Here is a 20,935-nt window from a genome sequence, read left to right as displayed (position 1 = left end):
CCTGAGCAACTTAGCGAGATCCTCCTTTTCTTTTTTGAGATGGAGTCTCGCTGTGTCTCCCATGCTGGAGTGCAATGGCATGATCTTGGCTCACTGCAAGCTCTGTCTCCTGGGTTCATGCCATTCTCTTGCCTCAGCCTCCCAAGTAGCTGGGACTACAGGCACCCCCACCACCACGCCCGGCTAATTTTTTGTATTTTTAGTAGAGACGGGGTTTCACTGTGTTAGCCAGGATGGTCTCAATCTCCTGACCTTGTGATCTGCCCGCCTTGGCCTCCCAAAGTGTTGGAATTACAGGCGTGAGCCACCGTGCCTGGCCTGAGACCCTGTCTCTTTTTATTTATATATATATATATATATATATATATATATATATATATATATATATATATTTATATTTTAAATTTAAGTTCTAGGATACATGTGCACAACGTGCAGGTTTGTTACATATGTATACATGTGCCATGTTGGTGTGCTGCACCCATTAACTCGTCATTTACATTAGGTATATCTCCTAATGCTATCCCTTCCCCCTTCCCCCTCCCCCCACCCCACGACAGGCACCGGTGTGTGATGTTCCCCTTCCTGTGTCCAAGTGTTCTCATTGTTCAATTCCCACCTTTGAGTGAGAACATGCGGTGTTTGGCTTTTGTCCTTGCGATAGTTTGCTGAGAATGATGGTTTCCAGCTTCATCCATGTCCCTACGAAGGACATGAACTCATCCTTTTTTATGGCTGCATAGTATTCCATGGTGTATATGTGCCACATTTTCTTAATCCAGTCTATCATTGTTGGACAATGTTGAACAATAATGTAGAGTGGTATGAGAAAAGAAAAAGACACTAATTAGCTTTTGGGAATCTTTTAATTTCTTTTTTTCTTTTCTTTTTTTTTTTTTTGAGATGGAGTTTTCTCTTGTTGCCCAGGCTGGAGTGCAATGGTGTGATCTTGGCTCACTGCAACCTCCGCCTCCCGGATTCAAGCAATTCTCCTGCCTCTTTCTCCTGAGCAGCTGGGATTACAGGCATGCGCCATCACGACCAGCTAATTTTGTATTTTTAGTAGAGATGGGGTTTCTTCATGTTGGTCAGGCTGGCTCTCAGGTGATCCGTCTGCCTCGGCCTCCCAAACTGCTGGATTACAGGCGTGAGCCACCGTGCTTGGCCTTAATTTCTAAATTTATTTTTTTCTTATGGTACTTTGTTTTAGGGGAAAAAATCTCTCAAACTGTGTTTTCCCTCTATTCTCACATCACAACCATCATCATCAACACAGAAGACTTGTGTGACCAGACCAAACGTGTGGGGATTTCCCCCTACATATCAAGCAGTAGACATCAGCTAGGTGTCCTCCAATTCAATTCAAACACTCTCCACCCGGAAATAGTATCAGATCTCACAGTTTGAGGGCCCAGTCCCACAAGACTGACTGTTCCCTCCTCCCCACCAGTTACAAGTCTGAGCCTCCAGAACTTCTGACCAACTGGCTTCAAGTTGGGGTTTCCACATTCTCCTCTTTGGGTCTGATTAATTTGCTTAAGTGGCTCACAGAACTCAGGGAAAAGCTTAACTTAGTTTATGGGTTTATTACATAGGATATTTTAAAGGATACAAAGAAGCTGGGTGCGGTGGCTCACGCCTGTAATCCCAGCACTTTGGGAGGCCGAGGTGGGTAGATACCTGAGGTCAGGAGTTTGAGACCAGCCTGACCAACATGGTGAAACCTCGTCTCTACTAAAAATACAAAAATTAGCCAGGTGTGGTGGTGCATGCCTATAATCTCAGCCACTCGGGAGGCTGAGGCAGGAGAAGTGCTTGAACCTGGGAGGCAGAGATTGCAGTGAGCTGAGATTGCGCCACTGTACTGGTCAACAGAGGGAGTCTTTGTCTCAAAAAATAAAAAAAAAAGAAAGGATACAAAGAAATAGCCAAATGAAGGGATACATAGGGCGAGGTCTGGAAGGGTCCCGAGTACAGGAGCTTCTGTCCCCATGGAGTTGGGATGTACCTCCCTCCTGGCACACGAATGAGTTTTGCACCTTCCTGTCAACCTCCATGTATTCAAAATGCTCTCTGGAAGCTCTCTGAATCCTGTTTTTTGAGATTTTATGGAGGCTTCATTACATAAGCACGAATGACAACTGTGTAGAAATGTGATTGGACAAAATGGGTATGTTCTCATACTAACCGACTGAGTGGGGAAGCCCACCAAGGCCTGTCCAGATTCTCCTTGACCTCTCTGTGCAGCATTCCTCCCTCCACAGTAAAGGGCAGGACCCTCTCTAGAATGAGAATGAGAATGAGGATCTCTGGACCCACAATCAGATTAGAGTCTTGCCTTGGATCAGGTAAAAGGAGGACAGGAGAAGGTCAGAGAGAGAGATTCTGTTTCCTGAGGATTGCTCCTGAGCCCTAAAGCACCCCAACATTATAACAGAAGACCGTAACCAGGGCTACGGAGGGTTGTAAGCCAGGAGCCATGGACAGAAACATACATGTGTGTACAGTAGCTCACGCTTTTACTTTTTTGGAGTCACAACTTCTTAATGGCTTGATTTCATGACATATTTTCTTTGGTCTTCCAGAACTTTCCTCTTAAAAAAACACAGCAAAAAAACAAAATTTGATTTGAAATTTTTGAGATTTTTTTTTAAGAGTCATTAGCAAATCCACTAATGAATTTTCCCCAAGCAGTTAGGAGATATTTCTCTTCATTACACCTTTGGGATTTGAGTGCTTTTGCTAAAAATTTAAGTTTTTTTTCCCACTACGGTTTTAATATGAACATGTGGAAAGACTTCTTGTATAGAAAAATGACTTGCAAAATATTATTTTTTCAGGTTCTATGGAGTGATTTCCCCCCCTTAGGAAAAAAGAACTCAGGAATTTTAAGTTTATATGTATATATATTTATTTTATTTTATTTTATTTATTTATTTTAAGACAGACTCTCACTCTTTTGCCCAGGCTGGGGGTTCAGTGGCCTATCTCGGCTCACAGCAACCTCCGCCTCCTGGGTTCAAGCAATTCTTCTGGCTCAGCCTCCCAAATAGCTGCGATTACAGGCGCCCACCACAATGCCTGGCTAGGTTTTATATTTTTAGTAGAGACAGGGTTTCACCATGTTGGCCAGTCTGGTCTGGAACTCCTGACCTCAAGTGATCCAGCTGCCTTGGCCTCCCAAAGTGCTGGAATTCCAGGCGTGAGCCACTGTGCCTGGCCTTTAAGTTTGATATTTTATTCAGATAAATATGGAAAAAAAATTTTAGCTTTATTGGCAAAATTTATTATTCATATAGAAATCATCTGATAATCTGATAGATTAAGTACAGCCCTGCAACTGGATTCTAATAAACCAAGTCCTCTAGGTCATTAAGATTGTTATTGGACATGAATTCAGTCATTGAGAAAATAAAACATTGTTTTGTTGTTCCTCAGTTGTGGTTTTTGTTTTTTTTTTAAGATAGAGTTTCACTCTTGTTGCCTAGGCTGGAGTGCAATGGCATGATCTCAGCTCACTGCAACCTCCGCCTCCTGGGTTCAAGTGATTTTCCTGTCTCAGCCTCCCGAGTAGCCGGGATTACAGGCGTGCGCCACCACACCCAGCTAATTTTTTGTATTTTTAGTAGAGATGGGGTTTTACTATGTTGGCCAGGCTGGTCTCGAACTCCTGACCTCAGGCGATCAACCCACCTTGGCCTCCCAAAGTGCTGGGATTACAGGTGTGAGCCACTGCGCCTATCCGTACTGTTTTTTTTACCCCTTGCTTTTTTTTTCCTTTCTGCTGAGATGCTTTAGGTTTTAACAGACATGTGATTGGGCCGAGGGGCATGTGAGGAGGCTGGACAATTAACTACAGTTAGCTTATTGCATTTATCAGCACCAGATTGTGTGTGGTTGAAATGGCCAAGGTTTGATGTTTTGTTATGAATGTTCCAGTATATCTTATAAATTACATTTTCTTAAATTGATTTGTTACTACTTACAATAATGTTTGATAGTATTAAATAAAATCCTACTTATTCTGTTAAATTCATATAATTGGTAGAAGAATCATAGTCCGGTTATTACTCTTTTTTGAGACAAAGTCTTACTCTGTCACCCAGGCTGGAGTGCAGTGGTGTGATCATAGATCACTGTAGCCTCAGCCTCCTGGGTTCAGGTGATACTCTCACCTCAGCCTCCCAAGTAGCTGGGACCACAGGTGTGCACCACCATGCCTGGCTAATTTTTTTTTTTTTTTTTTTGAGACGAAGTCTCGCCCTGTCTCCCAGGCTGGAGTGCAATGGCGTGATCTCAGCTCACTGCAACCTCCGCCCCCTGGGTTCAAGCAGTTCTCCTGCCTCAGCCTCCCGAGTAGTTGAGATTACAGGCGCGTGCCTCCATGCCCAGCTAATTTTTGTATTTTTAGTAGAGACAGGGTTTCACCATGTTGGCCAGGCTGGTCTCGAACTCCTGACCTCGTGATCCACCTGCCTCAGCCTCCCAAAGTGCTGGGATTACAGGCGTGAGCCACCATGCCTAGCCCACCTGGTTAATATTTTTTATTATTTTTGTAGAGATAGGGTCTCCCTGTGTTACCCAGGCTGGCCTCAAACTCCTAGAGTAAAGTAATCCTCCCATCTCAGCCTCCTAAAGTGCTGGTATTATAAGCATGCAGTTCTTATTCTCTTGTTGATCTGATTATAAGGCTCTATTTAAGACAGCATAGGCCCAACTGGCAGAAGTAGGTGATGGCTGGATATTGAGAAATAATGTTTTCTTTGCATGATCCTTAAGGAAGCTGACCTGGTTACAACTCATGAATTGGGACATAATTTTGGAGCAGAACATGATCCGGATGGTCTAGCAGAATGTGCCCCGAATGAGGACCAGGGAGGGAAATATGTCATGTATCCCATAGCTGTGAGTGGCGATCACGAGAACAATAAGGTATGTGTGTGTCGAGAATTTTTTATGTGGTTTGGAAAGAGGCTGTGTATAATGATCATAATGAGAGCTCAGAAACGTATTCCATTCCTAGGCGTTTCCCTAGGGATGGATGTGCAAATTACAAAGTACCTTGAAACGTGGTTGTGTGTTTTGGGGTGAAGCACGGTTCATCTAAATCTGGTTAAAACTATCATTTGGACTTTGTTGTCAAGCTTAATGGTGTAGATTTGAGCTCTAGGAAAAATTACTAATAATAATGGCTTTTTTTGGAGTTCTGGATTTCAGGGTCTGGTGGGCTCAGGCTTTATGTTAAAAATTTGTCATTTCATTTACAAGTTGTCATTCATTTTAACTCTACAATTTACATGTACAGTTTACACGTTTTTATTAACTTTTGCAGTTAAACACATAGTTTGCCTGACTACAAGCCTCATGGGAGAAAGGCCCTTCCTTGTCTGTCTTATTCATAGCTCTATCTTATTCATAGCTCTATCTCCAGTGCCTAGTAGGAGTATCTGGCATGTAACAAATATTTGTTGAATAATTAATGGAATCATTTACTATTGGGGGTTTCTGATAGAGAATACTAGTTGATTTGTGATACTGTAAAACACTTTCAGAGACTTTAAGAGTGCCGTGACTAACTCTTAGAGTCTGAACTAAAAGTTGTGTTAATAAATATCTGGTTCTTTCATTTTATTTGAAGTTAAACAGCATAAAGCAGTGTGAGGAAAACAATAGTTGCACTGCTGAGTTAAAGAGGGTCGGTGGGGAGAGCTTAAAGGAGTCTGATTCTAATCACAAAAGATTGTGAAGTATTTGTCCTGACTCCTATTTTGAGCTTGGCTGTGGGCTAATGTGCAAGCCTTCCCTGGACACAGAGGGCAAGATTACTTCTGCTTTTCCCTGGCTCTGACACCCTGCTTTCTGAAATTTCTGCCTCCTGTTCTTTTTGTGATCTTTGATTGTTGCATCTCATTTTTTTTTGGCTTTTTATGTATATTTTCTGCATCTCATTTTCTTTGGCTGTTATGTGTAAACAGTTCCTCTGTTACTTTGCATGTTATGTTTTATTTTTCCTCTGCTTGACAACTTGTGCCAGAGAAACATTTTTCTACCCCTTTTTGTCTACTCTTCCAACCTGTCAAACTGTTGAATTTTCCTTCTCTTTTCATAGTCTCTGCATTTCTAATCATGTTCACTATAGTTCAGTGCTGCCCAATAGAACTTTCTGCTGCGGGGCGGGGGATGTTTTGTGTCTGCTCTGCCCAGTATAGTAGCCACTAGCCCAGTGGAGCAATTGAAATGTGGCTAGAAACTGAGGAACTGAATTGTAAATTCTATTTTATTTAAATTTTTAATAATGTTTGCCTGTGATGGGAGACGGGAATGGGCATTAACTGTAAAAGGACATGAGTGAGATTACTGGAAGGATGGAAATGTCCTAAAATTGACTTATAGCAATGGTTTCAACACTTGGTAAAGTTATTAGAAATCACTGAGTTATATACTTGAAATGGATCAATTTTGTGATATGTGAAATATGTCTTAATAAAGTTGTTAATAAGCCAACAAACAAAAACAGCAGTGTGGGAGCAGAGGAAAAGTAGCGCGGATGTAGAGGAGCTGTGAAGTCATAAGTTGATTATTGTTGAAGCTGGTGAGGGGCACGGGGGCATTCATGATACCATCCTGTCTACTTCATAGATGCTTGAATATTTCTGTAATAGAAACTGTAAAATATGTGACTAGGAACAAAATTTAAGTAGCCACATATGGTTGGTGGCTACCATATTGCATACTGTTTCTCTAAGTAATAGGTCATATGCTTCTTGGTTATGAGGATAGTGTCAGAACTTGGGAGCAAAATGTTTTACTTTGCAGACTGCCTGGGTGGACATGCATGCTGCTGACTCTTCCTGCTGCCAGTTCTGGGGCTCTTCAAAACAGCCCTGTAAGAACTTGCCAGTGAGGCATGGTGGCTCACACCTGTAATCCCAGCACTTTGAGAGGCCGAGGTGGGCAGATCACTTGAGCCTAGGAGTTCAGGATCAGCCTGGACAACATGTGAAACTCCATCTCTACAGAAAATACAAAAATTAGCTGGGCATAGAAGCACATGCTTGTAGTCCCAGCTACTCAGGAGGCTAAGGTAGGAGGAACCCGGGGAGTTCAAGGCGGCAGTGAGCCAAGGTTGTGCTACTACACTCCAGCCTGGATGACAGAGTGAGACTTTATCTCAAAAAAAGGAAAAAGAAAAAAAAGAACTTGCTAATGAGAATGGGGCCTGGGAAGAACTTTTTTTTTCTGGAGCTGCCAGTCTGTATCAATGAAGAACAATTTATTTATTTTGTCCTGAGCACATCATATTTAGTCTGTGTTTTTCTAGTTTGGTTGCCCAAGTAGGAGTCCCCTTGTAAGAAGATAATGTGCATCTTCTATGTTTTATTTATTTATTATTATTTATTATGATTTTTTGAGTGGAGTCTCACTCTGTCGCCCAGGCTGGAGTGCAGTGGTGTGATCTCTGCTCACTGCAACCTCCACCTCCCAGGTTCAAGCGATTCTCCTGCCTTAGCCTCCTGAGTAGCTGGGGTTACAGGTGCATGCCACCACACCTGGCCAATTTTTGTAGTTTTAGTAGGATGGGGTTTCACCATGTTGGCCAGGTTGGTCAACTGACTGGTCAACAAACTCCTGACCTCAGGTGATCCACCTGCCTCGACCTCTCAAAGTGCTGGGATTACAGGCATGAGCTGCTGTGCCCAGCCTATGTTTTAAATGAATTCCTTAATAAAAATATTTTTAACTGATGAAAAGGGCTTACAGGACAAAAATAAAGTAGTTCCTTGACCTAGAAAGACAGAACCCATCACCCTCTACTAGGCAAGCCTATGAAGAGCAGTTTGCCACAGGTGGACTTCTCTGTGGACAGATGACATTAGTGAAAAGGAATGTAGGACCTTTGAGATTGTAACTTCTTAGGAAGGTTTGCTGAACGGAAGAGGAAGTCTTATGACAAGGATGCAAACAGAAGCTGCCAGATCTTCAGGGATGTGTAGGCAGAAAGCCAGAGTTGCGGGTTGGTCCTTTTATCGTTAGTGCTCTCCAGCTGCTTGGGAGTTGTAACTCTGACAAATCAGTGAAGAGGTCTTCTTATCTGTTCACTGTGAATTTTAACTCCATTTTAACCTGATAAAATGGAACCCAGAGATACATGATGTTGATGAATAAACCCACCAAAATGACAACTGCCTGAGGCCCCGATTAGAATAACCAGACCCCTTAGACATCTGTACTGTAACGACAGATTTGGGCCGGGCGCGGTGGCTCACGCCTGTAATCCCAGCACTTTGGAGACCGAGGTGGGCAGATCATGAGGTCAAGAGATCGAGACCATCCTGGTCAACATGGTGAAACCCTGTTTCTACAAAAAATACAAAAATTAGCTGGGCGTGGTGGCATGCACCTGTAGTCCTAGCTACTCAGGAGGCTGAGGCAGAAGAATCACTTGAACCCGGGAGGCGGAGGTTACAATAAGCCAAGATTGTGCCTCTGTAGTCCAGCCTGGTGACAGAGCAAGACTCCATCTAAAAAAAAAAAAAAAAAAAAAAAAAAACAGATTTGAAGATGTTTTTTAAAAAGCCAGTTAGTATTTCTGTGTAAGATGAGGTCTTTGCTATCTTTCTGAAAGTAGCTCCTTTGGTGTCTGATTTGGTGGTTACAGGCACCTTTGGAGGGTCTCATACACTTGGCTCTCAGGGGCTTCATGATTGTTGTCTGGGGTGAAAGTGAAGCCATTTTGGCATCTGCAGAGCACTTTGGAGACCCCGACCTAAGAAGTAACTATGCTCAGTTTTCCCTAAGCCTCTTCTTTTTTTGATAACTTCAGGAGGTCTGGAAAATGACCGCAGTTTTAGAGCTCCTGATAAAACCCTCAGCCTTAAAAGGGAGTTATCCTAGTGGTTCTGTACTCCAGGGTGGGAAGGTAGTGTAGAGACTTTTTGAGACACTGGTCTTGCTGGTTGATGAAAATGTTTAGGTAACAATTGGGGATTTAATTTATATAAAATGTACTATTATGCCTATTACTAAGCTCAAATATTTAAACAACTTTAAACTTGGATCATCCATATAAGTAGCCAAAGAAGGAGAAGAAACCCCTTCTCCTGCATTTCTGAATTGTTTTGTCTGGGACAACATTAACCTACAGAGGTTCTTAATTCTTGTCACTGCATGAGTGGCATGCCTGAGGTGAGGAGATTTCAAGTCTGATGGAGCTACGAGCTCTCTGTTGTGCTATTCTGCTTGTCCTTAAGTGGGCTTTGACTGGGATGTTTGGTCTCAGTATTTGTATAGCTTGCTTACCTTCGTAAGAAGAATTATAGATCCTTAACCAAGTTCACATCAGCCATTTAGCATTCTATGGAGGGAGGTTCCCAGTTCCATATCAGTGGCCTTTGGAGGAGACTGTGGTGGCCTTGCCATAACTCCAGGGTGGCTCTGATGGTGGTTTTACATTAAGAGTTTGTCTCTAGAGAAGACACAAACATTGCATGGGAATACATTTTTATGATATTATTTTGGGTCCTTATTGCCTTTTTTCTCTCAAGATGTTTTCAAACTGCAGTAAACAATCAATCTATAAGACCATTGAAAGTAAGGCCCAGGAGTGTTTTCAAGAACGCAGCAATAAAGTTTGTGGGAACTCGAGGGTGGATGAAGGAGAAGAGTGTGATCCTGGCATCATGTATCTGAACAACGACACCTGCTGCAACAGCGACTGCACGTTGAAGGAAGGTGTCCAGTGCAGGTGAGGAGTCTCTCCACAGGGATTTTGGGAAGTTGGTATAACAAGATGTCCAAAATAAGAGAAGACTGAACTTGCAGGGGCTTTAGAATCAACTGAAAGGGGTGTGAGTGTGTTTGTTTACATCTACCTCTTTTGCCCTTCACAGCAAGAAATTGCTTTCTGGGCCTGGCACGGTGGCTCACTCCTGTCATCCCAGCACTCTGGGAGGCTGAGGTGGGAGAAATGCTTGAGAACAGCCTGGGCAACATAGTGAGACACTATCTCTTAAAAAACAAAAAACAAATAAGAAAAGAAGAAGCTTTCTGGAAAGCAGTGTGACATTATGTAACAAAATCCTTGACCTTGCATGCTCCTTGGTTTAGCAGTCCTATAGTTAAAAGAATCTTTTTTTTTTTTTTTTTTCCTGAGACAGAGTCTTGCTCTGTCGCCAGGCTGGAGTGCAGTGGCGCGATCTTGGCTTACTGCAATCTTTGTCTCCCGGGTTCAAGTGATTCCCCTGCCTTAGCCTCCTGAGTAGTGGGACTACAGGCACGCACCACCATGCCCGGCTAATTTTTTGTATTAGTAGAGACGAGGTTTCACTACGGTGGCCAGGATGGTCTCCAACTCCTGACCTTGTGATCCATCCACCTTGGCCTCCCAAAGTGCTGGGATTACAGGTGTGAGGCACCGTGCCTGGCAAAATAATCTTTTTTATTTAATTTAATTTATTTATTTATTTTGAGACGGCGTCTCGCTCTGTTGCCAGGCTGGAGTGCAGTGGCGCGATCTCAGCGCACTGCAATCTCCGCCTCCCAGGTTCAAGCGATTCCCCTGCCTCAGCCTCCCCAATAACTGGGACTACAGGTACGCACCATCACGCCTGGCTGATTTTTTGTATTTTAGTAGAGACGGAGTTTTAGCATGTTGGCCAGGATGGTCTCGATCTCCTGACTTCATGATCTGCCCACCTTGGCCTCCCAAAGTGCTGGGATTACAGAGGGGAGCCACCGTGCCTGGCCTTTATTTTCTTTTTGAGACAGGGTCTCAGTCTGTTGCCCAAGATGGAGTGCAGTGGCATGATCATGGCTCACTGCAGCCTCAACCTCCCAGGCTCAATCAGTCCTTCCACCTCAGCCTCCCGGATAGACAGGACTACAGGTGTGTGCCACCTGGCTAATTTTTTTTGTATTTTTTATAGAGATGGGGTTTTGCCATGTTGCCCAAGCTTGTTGTAAAGTCCTGGGCTCAAGTGATCCACCCTTCTAAGCCTCCTAAAGTGTGGAGATTCTAGGTATGAGGCACCATGCCTGGCCCAAATAATCTTTTATTTCTTTTTTTTTTTTTTTGAGACGGAGTCTTGCTCTGTCGCCCAGGCTGGAGTGCAGTGGCGTGATCTTGGCTCACTGCAACCTCCGCCTCCTGGGTTCAAGCCATTCCCCTGCCTCAGCCTCCCCAGTAGCTGGGATTACAGTGTGCACCACCACGCCCAGCTAATTTTTGTGTTTTTAGTAGAGATGGGGTTTCACCATGTTGGCCAGGCTGGTCTCGAACTCCTGACTTCGTGATCTGCCTGCCTCAGCCTCCCAAAGTGTTGGGATTACAGGCGTGAGCCACTGCTCCTGGCTGCCCAAAGAATCTTTTGGGCAACAGAGATAAGATTTAACAAGGGTATAAGATTTAACAAGGTTTTTTTATGGCTACATCCTAATAGCAAAATTTTGGAAACAATCAAAATGACAGTCTTGGGATATGAATGTTATCATGATTCTATATACTGGAATAGTGTGGAGGAAGTAGGTTACAAGTTAGAAAGTTACCCAGGTTTTCATTTTTTATATACACTGATAGACCAGTGCCTGGCTTAGAAGTAAAAGGGTTAAACTTCAGTTTTCTGGTGAATAATTGAGATTTAACTGGATACAGTGCATATTAACGCTGTAAATACTGATGGGGAGTAGAGTTCTGGCTGCCGAGTGTCTTAGCTATGGATTGCCTTGTGGCCCCACCTTGTCTTTTTTTTTTTTCCTTGTCTTTTTTTTTTTTTTTGAGAGAGTCTCGCCCTGTTGACCAGGCTGGAGTGCAGTGGCGCGATCTTGGCTCACCGCAACCTCTGCCTTCCAGGTTCAAGCTATTCTCCTGCCTTAGCCTCCCGAGTAGCTGGGATTACAGGCATGTAGCACCATGCCCGGCTAATTTTTTGTATCTTTAGTAGAGACGGAGTTTCACCATGTTGGCCAGGCTGGTCTCAAACCCCTAACCTCGTGGTCCACCTGCCTCATCTTTTTTTTTTTTTTTTTTTTTTTTGAGACAGAATTTCTCTCTTGTTGCCTAGGCTGGAGTGCAGTGGTGCGATCTCGGCTCACTGCAACCTCTGTCTCCGGGGTCCAGGCGATTCTCCTGCCTCAGCCTTCTAAGTAGCTGGGATTACAGGAGCGCACCACCACGCCCAGCTAATTTTTGTATTTTTAGTAGAGATGGGGTTTCACCATGTTGGCCAGGCTCATCTCGAACTCTCCTGACCTCAGGTGATCCACCCACCTCGGCCTCCCAAAGTGTTGGGTTGGGATTATAGGTGTGAGCCACCTCGCCCAGCCCATCTTGTCTTTTTTAAATTAATGCGTTAAATGAATGAAAACCAAGGGCACCAAGATGTTTCACAGGTGATTGCTGTGTTCCCATTCTTTTCTCCTATAGTGTGGCATTTATGTGACCTCACGCACATTAGGAAGGGACAAAGTGTGTGCAGGTAGCTCTAGCAGCGGAGATGTCTGATGATGTAGGAGTGGGTGACGGAGCCAGGAGGTCTTCCCCGGTGATCTTCAGGTCACTGTAACGTAACTGTAGCGTTTGATTTGATATGGGGCCATAATTTGAATTGCTCTGTTCCTGTCTGCTGTTCTTCTCCAGTGACAGGAACAGTCCTTGCTGTAAAAACTGTCAGTTTGAGACTGCCCAGAAGAAGTGCCAGGAGGCGATTAATGCTACTTGCAAAGGCGTGTCCTACTGCACAGGTTCGTGTTCTTGTTGCTTCCTTGGAATGCTGTGGGTCAAGTGTGTGTGTGTCTTTGAAAAACAAGATTATGTTTTGTTCAGATGAGAGACACCTTATTTTTAATCTCATATGCCGGGTTGAGTTTCTGGCACTCCTTAGTTTGTGACACTTGGCTTTGGTGGGTTTAAGACCTGTTTCTATTTCTCTTTCATTTCCATCACTCTCCTCTTTCTCCTCACAGACATCCACTCTACTGTGGTTAATATTTGCCTGGATATGTGTATATCCTTGAAAGATCATATAGTGTTATTTTGTGCATGTATGTGTTTTTAATGTGCCAAAATGATATTCTACCTTAAATTTACTTTTAAAAAATTCAGTATCATGTTTTAAAGAATTACCCATATTGTGCTACAGATAATATAACAAGGTTTTTAATGGCTACATCCTAATAGCAAAATTTTGGAAACAATCAAAATGACAATCTTGGGATAATGAATGTTATCATGAATCTATGCACTGGAATAGTGTGGAGGAAGCAGGATACAAGTTAGAAGGGTAACCAGTTTTTCTATATGTATCTATATGTATTTCACTGTTGGGGACACCTACATATTGTTTAGTTATATGATTGGCTGTGTTTTACTTACAAGTCACCAAGTGGTAGCTACTTCCATTGCCTTCATCCCCTTGATATTCCAGATAGGACACAGATCACATCCTCCTACGTCCCTTCAGGAACCTGTGTGTTTCTCTGGGTACTGAGGAGTGTCATTGTGTAGTCACAGAGGCAGGATGTGCTGGTCTCTAGAGCACCACTGCTAGGTTGCCTGTGTCTGAGGACTCCTTATCCTGACGTTCTGGCCAACGCTTGGAATTACCCTGCTGTCCTATTAGCATGATGAGTATAAAGTAATCTCTTGTTCTTACTTTTTTTTTTAACAGCCCTTGTCCTAATGCACTTACTTACATTTTTCTTGAGCATCTCTTTATATTTTTCAGCTATTCAGATTTCTCCTGTGAATAGCCAGTTCATATATTTGGTTCATTTTTTAAAAATTGGGTTTCATGTTATTTCACTACTGTGAATTTGGAGGAGTTCTTATGTAATCATCCATTTGGGCATACGTCTCCTATCTGTTGCCATTCTCAGAACAGAAATCTTTAACGTAATCAAATCCATCATTTTGTTGTGTGTGTGTATTTTTTAAACACATGGTTCAGAAAAGCCATGGCGGATGGTTAAAAAGATATTTTCCACAGCTGCTTCTATTAGCTTCATAAGTTGTCCTTTTACATTCAGGACTTGAATCTTTCTGGAGCTAACCTTTCCAGGTGTCCAGTATCTTTTGTTCGGTCAATTGTTGCTTTAAAAATTTCAAAGCTATGTTATTACTAGGTATATAAACGGACATATCTCTACATCTTTATCTGCTGTTCCTTACCAGTATATAATGTTCCTTTTTTACCCTTGCGATGTTTTTTGACTTAAATTGTCAAAAAGCAATATTCAGTTTGCTATTCTAGTTTTTTTGTTCCTCTGATATATCTATCTGTCCCATTCTTATATTTTTCAAAATTTGTCTCTCTTGGTTGGTTGGTTTGATTTTGTAATAGCTTTATTGATACATAATTCACACTCATGTAGTTTGCCCATTTAAAGTGTACAGTTTAATGATTTTTAGTATATTCAGATTTATGCAGTCATCACAATTAATTTTAGAACATTTACATTACTCCAGAAAGAAACCCTGTATCCTTTAGCTATGATCCTCCAATCCCCCCATTCCCCACAACTCAGAGCAACCACTAACCACCCTATTCTTTATGGAGTTGTCTGTTTTGAACATTTCATATAAATGGAATTATACAATATGGTTTCGTGACCACATATTGTATGACTGGCTTCTTTCACTGAACATAGCATTTTTAAGGTTCATGTATGTTGTAGCATGTATCAGTACTTCATGTACTTTTATTGCTGGGTAAATTCCATTGCATGGATATGCCACATTTTGTTTATTCATTCATTGGTTGATAGACATTTGGGTTGCTTCCACTTTTTTGCTATAACAAATAATGCTGCTGTGAACATTTATCTATGAGTTTTTGTGTGGACAGTTCCTTTGGATATTATTCAGGAATAGAATTTCTGGGTCATGTGGTAACTATGCTTAATCTTTTGAGGAGCTGTCAGACTGTTTTCCAAAATGGCTACACCATTTTACAGTCTCAGCAGCATTGTATGAGGGTCCCAGCTTCTCCATATCCTCACCAACACTTGTTATCTTTTTTATTGTAACTATCCTAGGTTTTGTGATAAGGATGCAAACAGAAAGCTGGAGGTCTTCAGGGACCTAGTGAATGAAGTTGTGTCCTATTTTGGCTTGATTTTGGTTTTCCGTGTGCATAGTATGACATGTTGCCCATGTTTTTATCTTTTGGGATCTGTCACTATCACATTACTTTGCCAAATGTTAGGAACCTGATGGCCCGGCACAGTGGCTCACACCTGTAATCCTAGCACTTTGGGAGGCCGAGGTGGGCAGATCACGAGATCAGGAGATCGAGACCATCCTGGCTAACACGGTGAAACCCTGTGTCTACTAAAAGATACAAAAAATTAGCTGGGCGTGGTGGCGGGCGCCTGTAGTCCCAGCTACTTGGGAGGCTGAGGCAGGAGAATGGCGTGAACCCGGGAGGCGGAGCTTGCAGTGAGCCGAGATCACGCCACTGCACTCCAGCCTGGGCAACAGAGCAAGACTCCATCTCAAAAAAAAACCAAAAAAACAAATGTTAGGAACCTGAATATCTAAATCAAGCTTTAAAGAAGCATTTGCTAGCTATGCTCAATGTTTCATCTTCACTGTAATAATAAAATAGATTGAGAAAAATGCTTTCTTTTAAATAAACGTAAGTAAAACAATTTGAAAACGTTTGTTCTTATCAAACAGCCTTTTGTTCCCTTGATATTTTATACAAAATAGTAGATAGCAGAGGATAAGTTCCTGATAAGGAATCAGTATTTTCTAGCAGGAAAAGCTAGAGAACAACAACCTCAAAAAAAAAAAAAAAAAAGAAGAAGAAAGAAAAAAAGCAATTAGCATTTCACAACCAGCAGCAGCAGCATCACCTGGGAGCTTATTAGAAATGGAAATTGTCAGTCCCCTCCCTGGATCTACTGCATCAAAAAATGTGGGAAGGGAGGCCAGCAGTCTGTGCTGTGTAACCTTCTGTCAGGTGATTTCCATGCATGCTAAACTTTGGGGACCATGCTAGATAGATGATACCATTTTCAGAATTATTTTCCTACCTGTCTAATACTCTGACTTTAGTCTTTTAAGAACAGATGCTCAACAGATATTTATTGAGCATTTTTTAATGTATCAGGGCAGTATCATATACCAAAAATACAATAATGATCCACAATATAAACCTTCCCTGAGCTCACTGGACATCATACTTTCAGTAATAGTTTGTTAAATGACTGTTGACATGATGAATGCCCAGTGCTCATGAAAGGTTTTATGAGAACCAGAGGCAAAGTGCCTGGTTATCTGTTGGGTACTTAATAAACCATCACTTTTGTTTGAAACTGGCCAGATTTTCTGTACATTTTGTGTTACTGCTCTGAAACCCTCTAAGTCAGAATTCTTTTGATTGGCTTCATTCTTCAGCTGAAAGGCCAGTCCAGAGCTGTGGATATATAGTCCATTGCTTTCATAAAGTGTTTTTTTTCTCCTCCTCTATTTGTGTTGACTTTTAGCTACTTGTGCTATTCATTTTCCAGAATGATTCACTCATTCCATCCTGTCTCTCCCAGTTTAACTTTCTTTGGTGGGTTTTCTTTGGCATTATTGGCCTGGGCACAGTGGCTCATGCCTATCATTCCAGCACTTGGAAGGCCAAGGTGGGAGGATCCCTTGAGCCCAGCAGTTTTACACCAGCATGGTCAACACAGGGAGATCTCGTCTCTCAAAAAAAAAGAAAGAAAATTAGCCAGGTATGGTGGCGTACGCCTGAAATCCTAGGTACTTGTGAGGCTGAGGCAGGAGGATTGCCGGAACCTAGGAGTTTGAGGCTGCAGTAAGCTATGATCACACCCCTGCCTTCCAGCCTGGGTGACAGACTGAGACCCTGTCTCAAAAGAAAAATAAAAAGAATAATTGATTTATTTAAGAAATATTTGTAGTATACCTATAATATGATAGGGATTGGAGATAACTTAATAGATTTGATCATTGCTGTCATGGGGCTTTCCAGTCTAGTAGAGGGAAAACAGAAAATAACATTAAATATATATATATAAATTGCAAAACATATGCAATGAAGGAGAGAAGGAGTGTGATAGTGCATAATGGAAGTGGGAGGCCACATCAACTTAGCATCCTCAGGGATATCTCAGAAAACCTTTGAGACAAAACTTAATCCATAAGAAAAGCCAGCTAATTGCCCCAAAAGAGTGGAAACACCAGCATTCCAGGTAGAAGGAATAGTATCTGTTAATATTGAAGGAACTGAATGGAGGTTGTCATAGCCAAAGCAGTGGGCTGTGGGAGAGTTGTGTGCGATGAAGTCAGGGCCAGATAGGGAAGGCCGTGGAGTTCTTTTAAGCCTTCATACAAAGTTTGCAATTTATTCTAAGTAATAGCACATAGGATATTCTTTTATATATGACTGTGAGATGCAGAAGTGGAGACCATGCATTCTAACTGGGGCTTGGGAGGCCAGGGACTCATGCAGCCTAGCCTGGCACATAGCCAGGCACTCCCATTTAAATGCTGATTGCTGGTGAGATGCAGGCTCTTGTCCTAGCTCTGTAGGTCACTTTTTGCTTTTGCAAGGTAAGATGCTCACTTGTATGAGAAACAGCGTATTATGCACCTGTAGAACTGGTGGACCTGTGACTCATTCTTTTTGTTATGACTGGTGTTTGCTTCCAGGTAATAGCAGTGAGTGCCCGCCTCCAGGAAATGCTGAAGATGACACTGTTTGCTTGGATCTTGGCAAGTGTAAGGATGGGAAATGCATCCCTTTCTGCGAGAGGGAACAGCAGCTGGAGTCCTGTGCATGTAATGGTGAGCAGTTTTATTCCCAGTCCAGCAGCAGGAGAAAACATGGCCTTTGTCTGCCAGGCTCCCTTCCTCCATTTGGAGGTTGTGCGAATGACAGCAGTGGTGAGATCCAAGCCGAGGATGAGGGGATGGGGAAGGGCAGGGTGGTGTCTGGAGACAGGCATCTCTGCATGCAGATCCACCATACCTGGGAGACCTATCCTGTTGGTGTTTCTTCTTGCTGCAGTTTCAGGCCATATGGCAGGCTTTGAGGTGGGAGAGGAGGGAATTTTGTTGGGGGTGAGTGGGTGGGTAGGTAGAGGTGTGTCCTAGCCTTCCTCTGCTCCATATCATACAAACCACAAAAGCAGCAGTAGCTATCTACATTACATTGGCATGGAACTAGGATACTCCTGCAACAACTCCACCAGAGAGAGCTGATTCCAGGACCTAACCCCACTAGATGAGGATTTTTGCAGTTATCAAGAAGGCTGGGTCTGCTCCCCTCTGATCTCTTAGAGCAGCCTGGGGCAGGAGCCTCTCTCCTGCTGGCCTGTCAGTTTTCCTTAGGTTTCTGTGCTATTTTGGAACCCCTGGGTTTGAGGGCATCCTCATGGACTGGTCAGGGACTGGCTGGACTCTGCTTCCCACCCCACTTAAACCATGGGAGTCGATGAGGGAGTTCTCTTGCTTTCAAAATAGACAGAGAGCCAGGTGTGGTGACTCACACCTGTAATCCCATCACTTTGGGAGGCCGAGGTGGGCAGATCACTTGAGGTCAGGAGTTTGAGAGCAGCTTGGTCAACATGGCAAAACGCTGTCTCTACTAAAAATAAAAAAAATTAGCCGGGTGTGGTAGCGTACACCTGTAATCCCAGCTGCTAGGGAGGCTGAGGCAGGAGAATTGCTTGAACCCAGGGGGCGGAGGTTGCTGTGAGCTGAGATTGCGCCGCTACACTCTAGCCTGGGCAACAGAGCGAGACTCCATTTCAAATAAATAAATAAATAAGTAAAAAATAAAATAAATAAAAGACAAAGAACCCGGTAGTTAAATAAAATCACTGGGTTGGAAGCTCACCATCCATACAGTGGAGTGAGGAACTCTTCCAAGTTCAATAATGTGTAGGTAAAGAAGATAGGTTGAGGGCAGTGTCTCACATCTATAATCCCAGCACTTTGGGAGGCCAAGGTGGGTGGATCACTTGAGCTCAGGAGTTGTTTGAGACCAGCCTGGGCAACATTGTGAAACCTCACCTCTTAAAAAAAAAAAAAAAAAAGGTAACACGTAGCAGATGCCAAATAAATCTGTTGTGTTGAATGCCAAGAGGCTTGGGGTGCTCTGGAAGGACAGAGCCCGACACAGTAAAAGTCCAAGAAATATTTTATAAATTAGTGAATGATGAAAAGGTTTTCTTTTTTTTTTTTTGAGATGGAGTCTCACTCTCGCCCAGGCTGGAGTGCAGTGGCGCGATCTCAGGTCACCGCAGCCTCCGCCTCCCGGGTTCAAGTGATTCTCGTGCCTCAGCCTCCTGAGTAGCTGGGACTACAGGCAAGCACCACCACATCTGGCTAATTTTTTTTATTTTTAGTAGAGATGGGGTCTTGCCATGTTGGCCAGGCTGTTCTCGAACTCCTGGCCTCAAGTGATCTGTCCGCCTTGGCCTCCCAAAGTGCTGGGATTACAAGCGAGAGCCACTGCTCCCGGCCTTTTCTGAAAAGGTTTTCTTTTTGCTTGTTTTTGTGTTCTAGTTGATTTCTTTTTCTCCTAAGTATGGTTTAATTTTCTGGCATTTCTGCCATTCTTATGTATGCCCACATGGCTCACAGATGCCCGGTGTTTTATCCTGTGACCTGTCAGAGCTGTTCTTGGGAGGAGTTGTGGAGCTTTGGCTGCAGGGCTCATGCTCCTGGGGTCACTGAGCTCCCCACCCAAGGGTGGACAGTTGTGTCCCAGCTGCTCTCGCTTTCAGGGAGCCAGTGTGGGCCCTGAGGGGCACACTTTAGACTGAAAAACCAAGGATTGAAGTCAGCAGGGTGACAAGAAAGTTGGGACAAAGGGAAGCATTTAGAAGAGCATTGTGAGGGGCTTGAAGGGGAGAGAATAGTTAGACTTTGAAGAGAGGTCTTGAATCTAGAATGGATTTTTCTCTGCATTTTTTTTTAAACCTTGTGGCCTCTGTCACTGAAGGCTGAGGAGTGTGACCTCAGAAACTACTCCTTGGTGGGGGCTATGGATAGTATTAGCTATTTAAATAAAAAATAAATGTGATTTCTTACCTCTTTGGGAGCATGGTCAGGGAGGAAAGAGGAGGCAGGAGGAGAGGCAGGTCTCAGAACAATCCAGCTGTCAATGCGTGTTCTCTGTTCCAGAAACTGACAACTCCTGCAAGGTGTGCTGCAGGGACCTTTCTGGCCGCTGTGTGCCCTATGTCGATGCTGAACAAAAGAACTTATTTTTGAGGAAAGGAAAGCCCTGTACAGTAGGATTTTGTGACATGAATGTGAGTATTTATGTACAGCTTTTTCTGTAACAGCCAGATAGGAAGTTTTTATTTTGTAAGTACTTGATTTTGCAGATGAAAACAAATCAAAACACAAGTGGGGCTACATCCTTCTGGCCCATTGTTATCTACGGGTATTACTTAGGAGGAGAAGACGGAGTGCTTTCAGGTCCCTGCCTGTAGTTTCCTTCTGTGGTGGGAGGCTTTGAGCCCAGAGACTGAGAAGGACTGGGGTGGGGACTTTATGGTAAAGTTGGTTGGTTTCAGGCAGTGGGTCCTAATTATGTTTTCCTAGATTACTTACAGAACTGACTAAGATTGCAAAATTATTCAGGGTGTGATTTTGAAACAGGTGCTGAATGAGTAGGAAAGACCTAGAAGGCTGCTTGACTTACTTAAGCCAGACCCTTTTGTTCTCTAGAGAAGCATAATTTTTCTCATGCAGAATGATGGGAGAGGGTTTTAAGATTTACGAGGCTTCACAGGGAGTCTGGCTGTGTTGTTCACTGTCCACTGTGTATGTGTAGAGTCCTTACTGGAATGCCTCATCTTTAGCAAACTGGTTTCCTTGATTTTTGTCTCCTGGTAATTCTAAATCACTTGTAAAAATGGAGTAATTATGAAAGTGTTAATGACAGATGTTCTACTTTCTTGGGTACTC

At 43.1% G+C, this 20,935-nt stretch overlaps 2 protein-coding genes across 21 annotated transcripts in view; one reads left to right on the top strand and one right to left on the bottom strand.

Moving 5' to 3' along the window:
• Positions 1-20,935, top strand: part of ADAM17 (ADAM metallopeptidase domain 17) — a 67,345-nt gene that overhangs the window by 40,920 nt on the left and 5,490 nt on the right. For all 6 annotated transcript variants that reach the window (NM_003183.6, NM_001382777.1, NM_001382778.1 and 3 more), the window contains 5 exons: positions 4,780-4,932; positions 9,546-9,745; positions 12,635-12,738; positions 17,663-17,797; positions 20,144-20,274. In NM_003183.6, coding sequence (NP_003174.3) covers positions 4,780-4,932; positions 9,546-9,745; positions 12,635-12,738; positions 17,663-17,797; positions 20,144-20,274 — 723 coding nt within the window. The remainder of the gene's footprint in view (positions 1-4,779; positions 4,933-9,545; positions 9,746-12,634; positions 12,739-17,662; positions 17,798-20,143; positions 20,275-20,935) is intronic.
• IAH1 (isoamyl acetate hydrolyzing esterase 1 (putative)) overlaps positions 2,503-20,935 on the bottom strand; it is a 38,597-nt gene continuing 20,164 nt past the window's right edge. For 4 of the 15 annotated variants that reach the window (XR_007073108.1, XR_007073110.1, XR_001738718.2 and 1 more), the window contains 2 exons: positions 20,051-20,209; positions 14,368-18,039 (listed from right to left, as the gene is read on the bottom strand). The gene's annotated coding sequence lies outside the window, so the exon portion shown is untranslated. Of the gene's footprint in view, positions 2,595-5,300; positions 8,125-8,401; positions 8,523-9,300; positions 9,467-14,367; positions 18,600-20,050; positions 20,210-20,935 lie in introns of those variants that run through there. The other 11 variants (XR_001738721.2, XR_001738724.2, XR_426950.3 and 8 more) reach the window with 8 other exon arrangements.

The sequence above is a fragment of the Homo sapiens genome, chromosome 2, assembly GCF_000001405.40.
Source record: "Homo sapiens chromosome 2, GRCh38.p14 Primary Assembly".
Taxonomy (NCBI): Eukaryota; Metazoa; Chordata; class Mammalia; order Primates; family Hominidae; genus Homo; species Homo sapiens.
Note: the sequence above shows the minus strand (reverse complement) of the source record. Positions and strands in the feature narration are given on the sequence as shown.